Raw genomic sequence first — 16,640 nt, 5'->3', positions numbered from 1 at the left:
ACAAACACAATAAATAATATGAAGTCAATAAAACCAAAAATAAGTAATAGTTCTAGGGTAAGTAACTTTATTTGGATGTGCTGAGAAATTCTCACAGGAGATTAACACCCGAGCTGAACCTGGATGGAAAAAAGAGCCAAGCGTTTGAAGACATGATGGGTGATCTAACAGATTTGAAAGTTAAAGGGTCTTTGGAGGAAGAATAAGCTTGCTACAACTGAAAAGCAGAAAAGGAAAGTGAAGGAAGGAAAAGTATGGTAAGATAGATATGAGGTGCAAGAGATAGAGGCAAAAGACAAATAATGTAAGGCCTTTTAGAATATGCTGGAGTTTGTGTACTTTCCTTTTCTCACTAAGTGGAGGTGGAAGCCATTGGAGGATTTTTATTCAGGGAGTGACATGGTTTTAATCACATTTTAAATTATTACTCTGGCTGCAGAGCATAGATTATGGGGAAAAAAAGGAGTGATTCGTTAAAAAAATCCATTGAAGAAAGTAAGGTGGATAATGATAGTTGTTTGGGCTAAGGGGCAGCAGTGAAGGGTGAAAGAAAGACAATTATTTTGGAGACACAGCTGATAGTACTTGTTGATTGATTTCATATGAGAGATGAGAATAATTTTTTAATTTTTTTGCCTGTTTAAGTGTTCTTTTTTTTCTTTGCTTCTTTTGAGCTTGAGCATCTGGGAGGAATAGAGAAGCAAGTAAGAACAGGTTTGGTCATAGTATCAAGAATACAGTTTTGATCATATTTAATGTGAGCCAGCCTACTGGAATTCAAGTGACTATGTCAAGTAGGAGTTTGTCACTGAGGAAAGATTTAGAACTAGAGATATACATCTGTAAGTCTTTAAATATAGGTGATGTTTAGAGAATTGGAAAAGACTTTTTTCAAGAAAGAATATAGGTCGAGAAGAGCAGAAGATTTCAGACTAAGCCTAGGGTCCTAGAATTCCAGGGTCAGCAGAGAAGGAGAATCTAGCAGGGGAGACTGAGCTAAACTACTTAGTAGATAGGAGGAAAACCAAGGTAGTGCAGAGTTCTGAAAAGGAGAAAAAAATTCAACAAGAATAAAATGGTCAATTAATCTGTTACAGAAAGAACAAATAAGATGAAGAATGATGAAACATGGTAATTTTTGTTTTGTTTCGTTTTGTTTTTTTGAGACGGAGTCTTGCCCTATCGCCCAGGCTGGAGTGCAATGAAACGATCTCGGGTCACTGCAACCTCCGCCTTCCAGATTCAAGCGATTCTCCTGCCTCAGCCTCCTGAGTAGCTGGGATTACAGGCAGTGCCACCACACCCAGCTAATTTTTCGTATTTTAGTAGAGATGGGGTTTCACCACGTTGGCCAGGATGGTTTCGAACTCCTGACCTCGTGATCCACCCTCCTCGGCCTCCCAAAGTGCTGGGATTACAGGTGTGAGCGACCGCGCCCAGCCAAAACATGATAATTTTATCTGGCAAAATTGAGATCATTGATAACCCTGGCAAGAGTAGTTTCAACAAAGTGTACAGGGGCGGTGGGGGGGTTGCCCAAATGAACTAAGTTGAGAAGAGGCTGGAATCATCATCACGTTACTGCAGAAACAAGCTTTTTCCAAGAGAAACAGCTGCACATCAGAACTTTGTAAAGAAAGAAGTTTAAAGCAACTCTATCGTGTAATTTACAATTGTTTTCCCATCCTCCACAATGAGAGTTGACTGTATGAAGCCTCTGAGGTGGTTTAGCCCACCTTACAGTAAAGTGCAGTGATAAGAGGACAGATCAATTGCATTCTCTCTTTCAGCACTGACTTTGAAGTGGAAGGATATAAGCAGTGGGAGCTGAAGTTATTCAGATACACAGAGCAAGGCCTTCGGACGAGAGCTTTGATGAGTCCTGAAGCAACTGAAGTCATGAATACGCATAAGTTATAACTTACAAGGCAAGCTATTTGGGACAGAAGATAAGGCATCCACTTCTTAGGAAAAATGAGCTACGCGCTCTACGGTGTCTGGGGCAACAGAGATGAGAAGGGTAGCTGGAGCTCATTAACAACAGAGTGTTAAGAGTAAAGATTTACAACCTCTTGATGCCAACATCTCTACCTAACTTCAATTTCCCATTTTGATACCTTGGTTCCTGCTCTCTCACAATGCCTTATTCTTTGGATCTCAAGGCCTGACTCATCTTTATTACCGCTTTAGCATTTGCACCCTTATAATAAATCATTAACTCTGGAGATTGCTGAGAGTGTTTCTGTTCTATATAAGCAATAGATTCTCACTAATACAAGGCACAACATACAAAGAATAGTTTATTAGATGCTTGGAAGAAAAAGGTCAAATAATAACCACTGACAGAGCATTCAGAAAATTGGTAGATTCAAGAAGTGATTTAGAAAACAAAAACTATTCAGTGTTTTTTCTCAATGAATATATATTTATTCATTGAATTATCTGCATTGTGCTTATTCATTTTATAATAGAAAATAATAAAGTATTGAAAGTAGAAGACAGGGTGGTTGATTCTTCATAAGCAGGAAGGGACAGAGATATGTTTAATTTTTTGCTATTTAACTTTTGCTATTAGCAATCTCTAGAAGCTGATGCATTTAAGTGTCATCCAATTACGTGTGTGGGCAGGTGTGAGGGAGAAGAGATTCTTACCAGGAAAATTCCATAATCCAAAACTTTATAAAAACGATATGCCGTCAGGTACTTCCATCCTTCCTTATTTTATTTTTCCAAAACATTGGCAATCTTGCCAACAGAAATTTTTCTTTAAGGATATGCTATACAGGAAGAGAGAAAAAAATTGCTGTTTCTTTTAAAAATAAATCAAGAAATTATATATTATGCCATAATTGAAGATGATTAAGTTTCTTAATTAAACTTCTCTCTTCTTTTAGCCAAAGTAATGGAGCTTTAAAAAGTTACATTCTAAACTTTGGTAACATGAGTGGCCAAAAAATAAAAAGATAATAACACTTAAAATATAACAAAGAGATTTTTTAAGAGGTTTTCATAAAGTGCTGAAAGACCTTCAAAATAAGCCTCTCAAGGTTGTATTATGGTAAAACTGCTGGTTAGGATGATGAAACAAGGCTTTTTGACCTTAAACACATCACAGCTTCTCTTAAGGATCCTAAGTACACCGTGGCTGAATAAGAATGGACTTTTCCATTGCCCAGATAATGGGACCTGGAGCCCCTTGAGCTGAGCCCCTCATAACGTAGCTGGAACAGCTGCAATGTAAAATCAAAGATACTTCTGTGCTTATAATTGTGACAATCTCTCTACTAAATAATTAAAGGATTCCATACCAAGAACAAGGACACATAGGGAAGGTGGCAAAGACCAATATTTGATATTTTTCCTACTACTCTAAGTAAACCACAGAGAAATTGTTAATTACCTTTCATATCAATTAACAGTATAAGCCAGAATAAATATGATTTTCTGACATTCTGAAACAATGAAAGAATGACAAGCTTCTACATCGTTAATAAGTGTTTCTTGATAATTTTCCATGTATTTCTCTTTCATAATCTTCGACATTTCTGAAAATGGATATGGCTCTTTTGCCTAAACATAAGAATGCATAGAGAGTAAACAGAATTACAAAACCTCCAAGTTGAAAGTGACCTTTCAGGTAATTCAAGAACATGACTAATATTTCAATTTCCACCAAAACAATCCTTAGAGTAGTTGTTCAAGTCTATATTTGAATGCCTTTAATGGAGAAACTACTTCTATCTTTTAATCTTTTTTCATAAGACATACAGATTTTTTTTTTCTAAATTGTCTTCAGGCGAAAACAAGACTTTTAATCCCACTGTACTTACACGAGTGTTATCATGAAGCTCTGCGAATGCTGGCATCTGCACACTTAGCATATGCCTTCAATAAAGACTTTGACATTAAGAAGAGGCTCACACACACATATCTGGTTTTATTTTTACTTTCAAAGTCATTTCTTAAAAAGTATAGTAACCTATACTTAGGGCAACTGCATATCTCAGTTTGCCCCAGACAAGAACAAGTTACGCCTTTTTTTTCCCATCAGAGTAATTATCACCAGTGTCGCTTCACTTTCAAAATGGTCTCACTTAGACAACACATTAGATAGGCTCACCATACATATAAGGTTATTTATTCTCCCCAGCCTAGTCTGTCGGCACTCTTTATAATAAATAAGAACTCAGTGGCTCGTCCTTTTAAATTTCAGAAGTATTGACATCCATTATGATTTCCACTCATATGTTTTTCTCCTAATTCTCTAAACCAATGTCTATATAATTACATCTAAAATCTAGCAAACTTCTGCTTCAACAATATGGTAGATTAGATATTCTGCACAACCCTCCAATGAAACAATAATGCAGTATAAAATATATATTTAAAAAGTCATTCTAAATGCAACACTGAACTGACATCAAAGTATGAAAAACACAGAGCTTCAAAATGAAGTACAACCCAGAACGCTGAGATGTAACCTAGTGTCAAATACTCTTTCACCCTTAAAGTTTCTGCTAGACCCTGCCAAGTGGATTTTGGTAACTTACAGAAGGTAAAGCCCTGGACCTGCAAAATGCTGACACATCAGTGATCTAAGAAACAAACACTGGGTATTCAAGTTACTATTATTTCAACTTTTCTCTAGGTTGAAACATTAAAAAAAACTAAAAAGTTGTAGAGAAAAGTTCACACACAGGCAGACTGGATATTAAGGTGATAGTTACTTTTGGGAAGAAGTGAAGAAATGGGCACCGGGAGGTTCCTGACAAAGTCCCATTATTTTACTTGAATGATTAGTGTCTTTAGCTTTTAATAATTCATAAGGTCAATTTTTGACTTAACACACTTTTCTACAGGTAACTTATATTTCCATAAACATTTTTCAATGTCAAAAATATTGAAATAACGTGGCCTTTATTTGATAGTTTTCCCCAGTCTCTGACACAATTTCTTTTCTGGAGAAACTATCTATAAATCAAGTCTTAAAGAATCTTCACACATAAGTTCTCAAGGAAAATGAGAACTCAGAGTCTTGAAAATTTACAAACACAGCAGGAAACTAAGCACCATAAGAAAAAAACAACTAAAACAAAAAGCCAATGATACAGACTCTCACAATTTAGACATAAATTGTTAGACATAGATTATAGGTATGATTTATATATCTGAAGAAATAAAAGATAAGCTTGAAAATATAATCAGCAAAAGGGGAGAGTTAAAAAATAAATTACATATTATATGTAATATAATATGTATATTATATATTATAAATTATATATTACACTTAAAATAGCATATATATTTGTACACATGATAAATATAAAGACTCAAATAAAGATTTTAAAAGATGTTTATTCCAGCTTTTTAAAAAAACTGAATTACTAGAAACTAAAGAAACTAAATTGCTATAGTTATTGGAATTAACATTAATATGCTAGAAGATTATTTCTAGGAGGTTAGTCTGAAAGATGAAGGGAAGAGGACTTTTACCTATTTCCATATTACAAACTAAAAACAATTACATAATGCAGAACAATTTTAGCTTCCATTTTGTGTGCCTCTTACTTCTTGAATATATTCTCTTAAGAAGTGAAATCTAGAAAAAAATTATCAAATTGTAGAAAGTCCAGGAGGATCTGGCCTAAGAAAATATCACTGGACTTGGTGATTCACTGGACAAATGGAAGAAATAAAATTGCAGTGTTAGAATATGCTGAGAGGAGGTGGAAGTAGCATGTAGAGGCCATTCATGTATGAATAACTATTCATGAAAGGATAACTTGATGATTGATAAAGACAATAAAACCAAGTGACCTTTTAAGAGGCTGGTATATTTCAAAATTGAAGGAAGAATCCTAGACGGGAGATTTTTGAGGATTATGAAAAGAAAAGGAAAGACTGACAAGAAAGTAATGGATGAGAAGAATATAAAAATATGGCAAGACAAAGCTTGGAAATAAGGGTGAAGAAAACTTTCTCTAAAATGAAAGGAAAGAAAAAGATAATGGAAGAAAGATATGAAAGTAGAAATAAACAGAACTAAATGAGGTGTAGTTTAAGGTTTGTGGCCTCAATCTTCTCATTATGTAGATAAACAGGAAAGTCATTCTGGGAAAAAGCAGAAACTACGGTTTGATGGAGCCAATTTTTTCTTGGTAAGTAGGTAATGGTGATCCCAGGCACTGACGTAAGTGATCAATGCCCTGTGAGGCTGTTCTAGGCTCAGAAGAAACATATCCTTAAATGATTAGCTCTGTATAATCATTAGACTGCACACTTACAATATCTATATTGAATTTTCTGTTTTTCCTTATCACCAGGCAAGGAAACAAATCATCTGTTTTTTTGTTTGTTTGTTTGTTTTGAGGTGGAGTCTCGCTCTGTCGCCCAGGTTGGAGTGCAGTGGCGCAATCTTGGCTCACTGTAACCTCTGCCTCCTGGGTTCAAGCAATTCTTGCGCCTCAGCCTCCCAAGTAGCTGGGACTACAGGCACGCGCCACCACACCCAGCTAATTTTTGTATTTTTAGTAGAGACTGGGTTTCACCATATTGGCCAGGCTGGTCTCAAACTCCTTACCGCGTGATCTGCCCCCCTCGGCCTCCCAAAGTGCTGGGATTACAGGCGTGAGCCACCACAGCTGGCCCACATCATTTGTTTTACGAAGGCAAATTAATGAGATAATAAACAAGATAGACAAATAACACTGCCAAGTTCTTTTAAAGATAAAGTAAGTACCGCCATGGCGAATGAGACAAGTTATTGTGCGAGTGGAGAACAGAGAGCACATGGGGGGAGAAAGAAAGATGAGAATTAAAGAGAAGCAAGAAGGTCAGAGACAAAGACATGAAGAGAAGCAGAAGGAGAGGGAAATAGAAAAGTGGAAACTGTTGACTAGAAGACCCACATGAGGAGAAGCAGAAAGAAGGAGGAGGAACAACAGAGAAAGAAAAAGAAGAAAACTGCAATGAGTAAAACCAGGGAGCACAAATTGATAGGGAAACAGTAACAGCTGAGCAAAGTGAAAGAGAAAGGACAAAAAAGGAAATGAGTTGATATTTATAGAATGCTTACATTTTGCCTTAACTTTCATAAAAAAATCTATGAGGTAGGTGCTATGATGTCTGCATTTTATAAAGTTCTCATGCACGGAGAGAAGAATTCACTTTCTAAGTTTACAAACCATTATAGAATATGTAAATTTAGGTCGTTGGATTTCTGTGTTTTTAACCAATAATGTCATACTACAAGAAGCAAGGGGATGAAGAAAAAGGAAGTGAGACAAAATATGACTTTTGTTGTTTTCTTGGACTGGAAGCAGTTTGCCTCTGCACAAACTCCTGCCCTTTTCACATCTCATAAGCCTGTCCATCTTTCCACGCTCGTCAGTTCTTCCTTTTCAGTGACTAACAAACTTTTATCTATAAGCGGAAGATCAAATCCTGTCCAAAAACCAGACCAGGAAACTCCCTGGAAATGAAGACAATAACCAAGTTAGTTTCTTGGAAGCTAATGATAATTGTCCTTCTTGGTTCTAACGAACCTCACTTTCGTTTAATCAAGCCCTGTTCAGGTTTAACTGGGAAAGATTTCATGACTGCTAAGGCCAGTGCAAATTTTGATGTCTAATTTCCACATTATATTTATGTTTACTAAACTGACAAGCAAATAACCTAACAGGTTCAAGTCTTTATGAATAATAAAGGATGCATTAAAATCTTAGGTATCATTTTGGAGGAAACTGATAAAATAGTTGAAGCAACGCTTATATGACCACAATGGTTATGACATTAAGGATTTTATAAAATAGGCTTTTTTTCCCTCAGAAGAAAGAATAATTTGGAAAAGACTGAAAATAGCCTGCTAGCAGATTCTAACAATCTCAATCCCAGTAAAGCAGAGATTTGGTTATAGAAACAAGATGAAACTGCTTGACCACATTCTCTGCTACTGTTGCACTGGGATTACCTGATTATTGAGCAGGGTTTGATCACTACTTCTCACTGACAGCTTCCCAAAATTAACATGAAAGAAACAATGACCTGATATTCTAGCTAAACTGTATCTTAGCTGTAATATAAACTTCTTTTATTTATTATCTCGATTAGAGTTTGAATATATTATCAATTATAGGTCCTTTGCTTTTCTTGTTGGTCTCTCTCTCTCTCTTTAATATACACACAAACACACACACATTATTCTTCACACATTAGCCTAGACATCAGCAGATTTGATGGGTGCTTTCAATGTTTTGTTTCAAATTATTATTCTAGATAATTCCAGTTTACAAAGAGAACTGAAAATACAGACTAACTGAAAATCCCTTGGACGACCAAATTAATATACATATATATTGCAAAAGCCAGTTTCAGCCTTCCCACTCAAGGTTAGGTATCTGGGATTATTTATTGCATTTAGTATCAGATTATTATATTGATTAGACCTACGGAGTTTAGTATTTTGCCTACTCAACAGCATCTCAATAAACAGCCTATCTTCTAAATAATATCCAGGATCTATGTTGTGTAAGGAAAAATGAAAACGAAAAAACACTCCTATCAAAATGAACCTAAATATAGGAAATTGTTGGACTGACACAGTTATGTACTGTATGGGTTAGCTGCCTCTTGATTCTCAGCTTTATTTCTATCCTATGCTTCCTGTGTAACTCAGGAGGCTAGAAAGGTACACACTACATTTCCCATTTGCTGGGAAACTCTTGGTTAGTTTCTACAAGTGGTCGCTCTGACAGGAAGTAGGAAGACAGACAGAAGCAAGATTTTTGTTCTGCTTTTCATAGCCTTGCAGCACAAGCAACAGCAATAACAGATGGCTGTGGACTACTGTGGGCAAATGTGGGTCTAGTAACAACTGCAAGTGACTGTTGGCTTTAGAATTTTTGCTGATTAGCTGCATCAGGAGGCTAAGATTTTATTTAGTAGCATCAATAAGGTTCCAGCAGCAACACTAAAAACAACAGTCATACTGCTTGCTAGCAGATTAGCACACAGTGAGTTTGTAAGTTCCAGCCTACTGGTTCTCTCCCGCCTAAAATTAGGCTTGGTTCTAGGGATCAGAACAGGGCTCTATGGAAATTTAATAGCCCCTATCATAGGTAGAGAAAACTAGATATGGCTTAACATTCACAAGTATTTGTTAATATGTTTTTCTACACAATGGTAATCCAGCTCTTTCATAGCTGACTTGGGGTAAGAGTGTAGCAGACGATGATGATACCTGAGATCATGATTATGGATCAGGAAGGTGGAAAAGGAATAGCCTCAGGAAGCAGCAGGCATAAACGAGATAGAATAGGAAGCAGAAACCTGAAGCAACACCGAAGAAGGAAAAGAACAACTAATTGGAGTTTTGCATAATAAGTTGGAAACTATCTAGAGGATCGTATTTTTATATAAATCAAGCATTTGTTCACAACCCTAGAGAATGCCAGCTCCATTGCACTTTTTATAACATTGATACATACTTCTATTTATAGTCTGTTTTTCTTATAGTCTGTTTTTCCTGTTTGTTTGCTTTTTTTTTTTCAAAGTAGGCGGAGGTAATAGCCATTTGGCTGGCAGTGCAACTACCCAAATTGCTACTCTCAAAAGGAGAAAAGGTAGTTAAACACAGATGTAGGGTACTGTGTCATGGTAATGAACGTAGAGCAACACTATATTTAATATTGGCCTTGCTCTGAAAGTAGGAGTTATATATAAACACTAGAGAAGAATAACGTGAAAAAATGCAATTCTACCTCTATAATGTCAGTATCCTTTAAAGTGTACCAGTTTTCCTATCATGAGAATATCTGGCAACATAAGGAAGACATTATCGGAGGATCACACTGAAAAATGAATTCCATTCACACATCATACTTCATGCTTCCTCTCTGTTGTAAATATCAGTAGTTTACTCCTATTTATTTTGAATACAATTCCACTGATGAATATACCACAATTTTTCAAGGTCACCTATTGAGGTACTTTTGGGTTATTTCCAGGTTTCAGCTATTATGAATATGACTTCTGTGAACATCCATTATTAAGCATCTGTGTACTTATAAGTTTTTATTATTTTGGGGTAAATACTAAAGGTAGAATTGCTGAGTCCTAAGATAATTATATGTGGATTTTTGCAAGACCTAGTAAGGCAGCTTTAGGCAACTATTACAGTCAGGAAACTATTATCCTGGTTTGGATAACTGTACTGAAGCTATGTACAATGTGAGCATTTGGGAAAGAAGGAGGTAACGGAACCAGGAACACTTTACTCCTGTTCCTTTTTTTGTTTTCTATTATTTAAAATTGAAAGATTTGAATAGTGTAGTGGGCAGGTGGGTAAATTTTCCTTAAAATCAAGATAAGTTTTGTAGCTTCTCTTACCTTTAAACAACAACTACAACAGAAGCAACACCCAGATCACAAATCATAGATAACTTAGTGATAATATCACTTGCGAATACCAGGATGGTGCATTTTAACTTCTTTAACACATTTTCTCATTAGAAACAAATAGTAAAAATAAAGAAAGAAATAAAGAATAACAGACAAAAACACTGGCTTAAAGTTTTATTACAGGCTCTAATGCATCTAACTGTTACACATGTAAATGAGATCTAAGTGACCATAAAGGACAAAATTAAAGATGTCCCTAAGATGGAGATTTTTCATATGCACATTATTTTGTTAAATTCTAATAAATTTCTCTTCAAGCCCCAGGTTTTCATGGTAGTTAGGTGGTGATTCAACTTCAAGAACACTTAGTGTGGCTGGGCACAGTGGCTCATGCCAGTTATCCCAGCACTTTGGGAGACTGAGGCAGGTGATCACCTGAGGTCAGGAGTTCAAGACCAGCCTGGCTGACATGGAGAAACCCTATCTCTACTAAAAATACAAAAATTAGCCAGGTGTGGTGGCATGCACCTGTAGTCCCAGCTACTCAGGGGCTGAGGCCAGAGAATCACTTGAACCCGGGAGGCGGAAGTTGCAGTGAGCCGAGATTGCACCACTGCACTTCAGCCTGGGCAACAGAACAAGACTCCGTCTCAAAAAATAATCACAAAAACAAAGAACACTTAGAAAAGGGCCAGCACTTATTTTTTCATTCACCAGGTAACAATCTAAGTTTTGTAGGAGCAGTTAGAGTTTGTCATCCATGAGTTTGCCATTTTTTTAAGGAAAAAAATCAAGGGTGTGAAAAATCTTGGGGCTTTTTATTCATATTCAAGATAGTTTTATGTAAGAGAAACAGGAAAAGAATACATGCATAGACACACATAAATGAGACACAGAAAACACAAGACTATATTGAAATGGTTTCTGTGAAAAACACAGGGGTATCCCTGTAAACCTAATGACTGTACACGGCTGCTGAGTGGAGAAACATAGAATTTACCTAAAAGGATTTACCTAAAGACAAGAACAGTTATACCAACATCAGTGGCATATGATTCTTCTACTCAAAATACATTATCAAATGACATTCTAGGGGCAAATAATTTTCAAGAACAAGATACTCCTCTCCCCGTAACACAGCTGATTTCTAGGTCCTTCCTTTAAAATCTCCTTTGCTTTGCAATTAGAAATAATAAGAACATTTGTTTAAGAAATGCAAATGACTGGATTTCAACTTCAGAAACATGGCAGTTAATAACTACCCTCTTCTTCCTGCAATCTCATAGAAACTTTGTATAAAATATAGTATTGAAACAACGGAATACACAGGTCATTGGAAGAAAGCAGCAAGCACTGAAATCAAATTCTAGATATAAATGAAATTAAGAAATGACAAATGTGAACTGAAGAGAGAGTAAAGATTGTCTATCAATATAGAAAAAAATCAGATACTATGTTACCTAAAGAAATAAGTTTCAGAAGGATTAGAACTCAGAACATGAAAAAACATTAAATTTAAAAATAAAATGTGCACAAAATCAAAGAACTGAAAAGATTTTGAATTCGCTATATAAGTATTTATATGTTCAGCATGACAAAATTCACCACAAACAAAATTAAACACAAGCAACTGATGGGTGATGTCTACAATGCAAATATTCTGCAAAGAATTACCATCTCAACTATAAAGAACCCCTACAAACCAATAAGAAAAAGATAAAAACCTATTTCTTAAATGGGCAGAATATTAAAAACTGGCAATTTACAAAGGAGAAAATCCAAAAGACCAACAAACACATGATAAAATAATTCACTTTACTAGTATTCAAGAACATGCAATTTGAAGCAAATATGATACCATTTCATATCTAATTAGCAAGAAACTTGGAAGTTTTTTTGTTTTTTTGAGACGGAGTCTCGCTCTGTCGCCCAGGCTGGAGTTCTGTGGCGCGATCTCGGCTCACTGCAAGCTCCGCCTCCTGGGTTCATGCCATTCTCCTGCCTCAGCCTCCCGAGTAGCTGGGACTACAGGCGCCCGCCACCATGCCCGGCTAATTTTTTTGTATTTTTAGTGGAGACGGGGTGAAACCGTGTTAGCCAGGATGGTCTCGATCTGCCCGCCTCGGCCTCCCAAAGTGCTGGGATTACAGGCGTGAGCCACTGCGCCCAGCCAAAACTTGAAGTTTTGATAGTACTCAGTGTTGCTAAGGAGAAGACTCAATGAGACTCTGACTTTCGTCCCTCAGACTTTAAAGAATGATGTGTTCTTATCTAAGCTGTAGCTTGAAGTAGTAGAGTTTCAAGAGTAACACAGATGGTCTATGACTTATGATGATTTGACTAATGATTTTTTGATTTGACAACAGTAAAAAAGTGATGCACATTCAGTATAAACCATACTTCAAATTTCAAATTATGATATTTTCTCAGGCTAGAGGTATGTCGTTTGATACACTCATGAGGTTCTAGGCAATAGCAGTGAGCTACAGCTCCCAGTTGTTCACATGATCTCTACTAGGATAACAACCTATACTCTACAGTGTACTATGTTGCCAGCATTTTTTGGATACAATTTTGCCCAAATGTGCATTAATGTAAGTATTCCAAACATGTTTATGGGAGACTAAGCTAAGCTATGATGATCAAATGTATTAAATGCATTTTCAATTTATGATATTTTCAATTTACAATGGGTTTATTGGGATGTAACCCCATCATAAGTTGAGGAAAGTCTGTAATGAAAATAATTCCACTTCCACGCATAAATCCTATACACACCAGAAATACTCAAGGAGACAAGTACAAATATATTTTTCAAGGATTTGTTTGTAACAGCAAAAACAAAAAAGCTGAAACAAAAAAAATGCCCATCAATAGGAGACTAGATGAATAAACAGTAGTGTATTTAGATAATGAGATCATACTCTGCAGTATTCCATTTCAGAAATGACAATAACAATGAGTGACTAGATCTGCATATATCAACACAAATGCTTCTTGAAAAAAGTGAATGAATAAAACAGATTAAAAGAGATGCAAATAACACGTGTAAATATTAAAGACATAGACAATAAGATATATTACCATGGTACACATATTAAATAAAATGAAGTATATTTAATAAAATGCAATATGTTTTCCAGAAAACATGCAGGAAAAAATATAGCTACCATCTCAAGATGTGTGTTACCTGGCAGAAAACAGAGGAATGGGAGAGGGCCTGATGTCTTGGGTCCCTCTAAAACATTTAATGTCTTTAAAAAGTAATAGCAAAATAAGCAAGTAAGCCAAAATAATATTACTCATTAAATCTAGATAAAATGGAAATGTGTCATATTCTTCTCTGTACTTTTTTATATATTTGAAATATTTTGCGACGAAAATTAAAATTATAGTTTAAAATATTAAACAAAGAAAGAATATGGTAGGGTAAAAGAAGGATCAAATAGATCAGTGAGACTCCATATTGACTTTCTTAAATTATTATACTGTGCAATATGTCATCTCTAAAATCTGAAGTGTTCTACTGCCAGGAATCTAATACACTTAATAAGCTGCTTTATCTATGTGAGTTGACATGAGTTCATATAATTTTACTTAGTTTTTGTCTAAATATGTAAACTGAAGCATATTTGCAGAATTGCTTATCATTTTGGGGTAAATACTAACGGTGGAATTGCTGAGTCATAAGACAAGTATATGTGTACTTTTGCAAGACCTATTAAAGCAGCCCTAGGCGACTAATACAGTCAGAAAACCATTTTCCTGGTTTAGATAACTGTATTGAAGCTAGGTACAATGTTAACATTTGGGGAAAACTGAAGTATTGTTAACTGGAATACTGACTGGCCTGTAATCACTTTTAACTCTAGTATGAAAAAGGACACATGTATTAAAAGTAGTTGTAACTAAAAAGATGTTAAAAGATACACAATATTAATAGATATAAATTGTGACAATAACATAAAATTGGGAGGCCTTATGTAGAGTTTTTGTATGTGATTGAATTTAAGTTATTATAATGTCAATCACATGATGTCATTATGACTACCAAAACTGTTGCATGGTATAAAAGATTTTTGAGTAGCGTTTGTGATGTTATTTTCTTCCTCATTTATTTTTTTAAAAATTAGTATTTGCAACATTGTATTTCCTAGACTAAAAGTGGCACCTCACCCCTTTAAAGCATTACTAGTTCTAGGAACTGAACTAAACTAAAAAGTGAAAGAGTGTTTATAATTATATTGCTTGTTTTTGTCCAGGATGGCAGCCAGAAGTTACCATGCTGAACAAGCTAGAAGGAAGAATAGCCACAGAGAAGGTATTATGGCATTTCTGCCTCCACATAAAGACTGACATTGTTTTCAGCTTTTATTTTTCATTTACAATAGCACAATACGTTGGAATAACTGTTGCTTTTCAGCAGTTCCATTCCAGGCTATGTTCTCTAGTTGACCTCTAGGCCCTAAAGAACAGTTTAGTCATCTGTTTCACTTTTGAATCGATTAAATTTATATTTATACTTATTTTCAACGCTCCTTTTTCTCCAGAGACTTTGAGAAGGGCTGTAAAATAACCATACATTGTCCTCAAACTGAGACACTTTTGAAAGTTGAAGAAATGCTATTAATAATTATCTCAGGACTACAGGCATAAATTCATACTATTCCAAGCAAACTAGGACATAGGGTCAGCATAACTATATATGTTAGGATAACACTCTTCTTTCTGATCCTTGAGCCCTAAATATTAAACACAGATCACACATCAAATTGTTCTATCAGTTTCTTTACAAAAAGAAACTGGCAGCTCTAAACATGTTTTTAAGAAAACTTCAGTGTAATATCAACCCATTAAACCAAAGTTAAAATAGAAAAGGAAGTAAAAAAGATAGTCCCTAAATTTTTGTCTAAATAAAAACATATATGTATGTGTATCATACAAGAATATGTGTGTCTGTGTGTGTGTGTTGAGAGAGAGCAAACGCTCAGTCACATACAGAAAAAGGACTGAAAGCTAGAACCCCTGAGATTTAGCTTCATTTATGCTACTATATCATATTTCATTTTGTATACCTCAGTATTTTTTTATTTTAAAAAAAGAAGAAAATATCTATGTTGTCTCACAGGGTTTTCCTGAGAGTAAATTGAAATAGTCATTGAGAAAAGTAATTTAAAAACAATTTAAGGGTTTTTTTTTTTTTTAATGTATATTGACTTGAATCTAAAGATTTTGAAAGCCAGGCATTGTATAGTATAATTATACAATGTGTAAACTCTTGGCTTTTAGGCCCAGACAAGTTACCAGAAGGCAGCCTTATTTAAAGAATAGAAGACTCTGGCTAGGCGGGGTGGCTCACACCTATAAACCCATCACTTTGGGAGACCTAGGTGGGCGGATCACTTAAAGTCAGGAGTTCAAGACCAGCCTGGTCAGCATGGTGAAACCCCGTCTCTACTAAAAATACAAAAATTAGCCAGGCGTGGTGGCGCGTGCCTGTAATTCCAGCTACTTGGGAAGCTGAGGCGCAAGGATTGCTTGAACCGGGGAGGCAGAGGTTGCAGTGAGCCAAGATTATGCCACTGCACTCCAGTGGGTGACAAAGCAAGACCGTGTCTCAAAAAAAAAAAAAAAAAGAAAGAAAGAAACAAAGAAAGAATAGAAGATCTGGAGCCAAAATTTCCTTGTGAAAAGAATCTCTGAATTGAGTGCTCCATGTAAATAAAACATAGAATTCCTTAATGTTAAGTGTTTAAAAAATATGTTGGCAAAACACTTTTATCAAATATTTTGGTGACACTAATGTACAATTAAGTAAAATAAAAAATATCTTTGTATGTCCAATTTTAATACTATTCCAGGACAACAGTAGATATCAATAAGCTTATCCTTATAGCATGGCTTTTGATGAGAGAAAAGTAACTTTAAAAAAATCAGATAATCATCAGTCAAAGTTATTTTCACAGTATTATTCTCCATAATGATCCTCACAATTTTAAATTAAATAACTTTATGTGTTTATACTCTAATTACCAGGAAGTTCAGAAACAAATTTGATTGAATTCTATATACTTGTGTTATCAATATATTTTTGCTATCTCTCTGTAATACTTTTTTTTATTTTTATTTTATTTTTTTACTAAATGCATTATCTAAAAGTCTTTTACCTTTTCTTGATGCTGCTGCCTATAGTTTTGGAAGGAGAAAGGTGAAAAAATAAATTGTCCATCTGTTAAAGCCCA

The 16,640-nt window shown here is 35.3% G+C and overlaps 1 long non-coding RNA gene across 1 annotated transcript in view, besides 3 other annotated features; it reads right to left on the bottom strand.

The window, feature by feature from the left end:
• Positions 1,881–2,081: a silencer, noted in NCBI's record as "peak6392 fragment used in MPRA reporter construct". NCBI's record gives its function as "represses an SCP1 promoter by STARR-seq MPRAs in K562 erythroleukemia cells {active_cell/tissue: K562}" and the evidence as "EXISTENCE:reporter gene assay evidence [ECO:0000049][PMID:32103011]".
• Positions 2,955–16,640, bottom strand: part of LOC105375158 (uncharacterized) — a 130,320-nt gene continuing 116,634 nt past the window's right edge. Inside the window, exon 3 of the long non-coding RNA XR_927044.3 lies at positions 2,955–3,570. This is a non-coding gene — a long non-coding RNA (uncharacterized LOC105375158). The remainder of the gene's footprint in view (positions 3,571–16,640) is intronic.
• Positions 6,962–7,021: an enhancer, noted in NCBI's record as "active region_25667". NCBI's record gives its function as "activates an Ori minimal core promoter by ATAC-STARR-seq in GM12878 lymphoblastoid cells {active_cell/tissue: GM12878}" and the evidence as "EXISTENCE:reporter gene assay evidence [ECO:0000049][PMID:35858748]".
• Positions 7,152–7,251: an enhancer, noted in NCBI's record as "active region_25666". NCBI's record gives its function as "activates an Ori minimal core promoter by ATAC-STARR-seq in GM12878 lymphoblastoid cells {active_cell/tissue: GM12878}" and the evidence as "EXISTENCE:reporter gene assay evidence [ECO:0000049][PMID:35858748]".

The sequence above is a fragment of the Homo sapiens genome, chromosome 7, assembly GCF_000001405.40.
Source record: "Homo sapiens chromosome 7, GRCh38.p14 Primary Assembly".
Lineage (NCBI taxonomy): Eukaryota > Metazoa > Chordata > Mammalia > Primates > Hominidae > Homo > Homo sapiens.
This window is presented reverse-complemented; position numbering and strand designations above follow the sequence as displayed.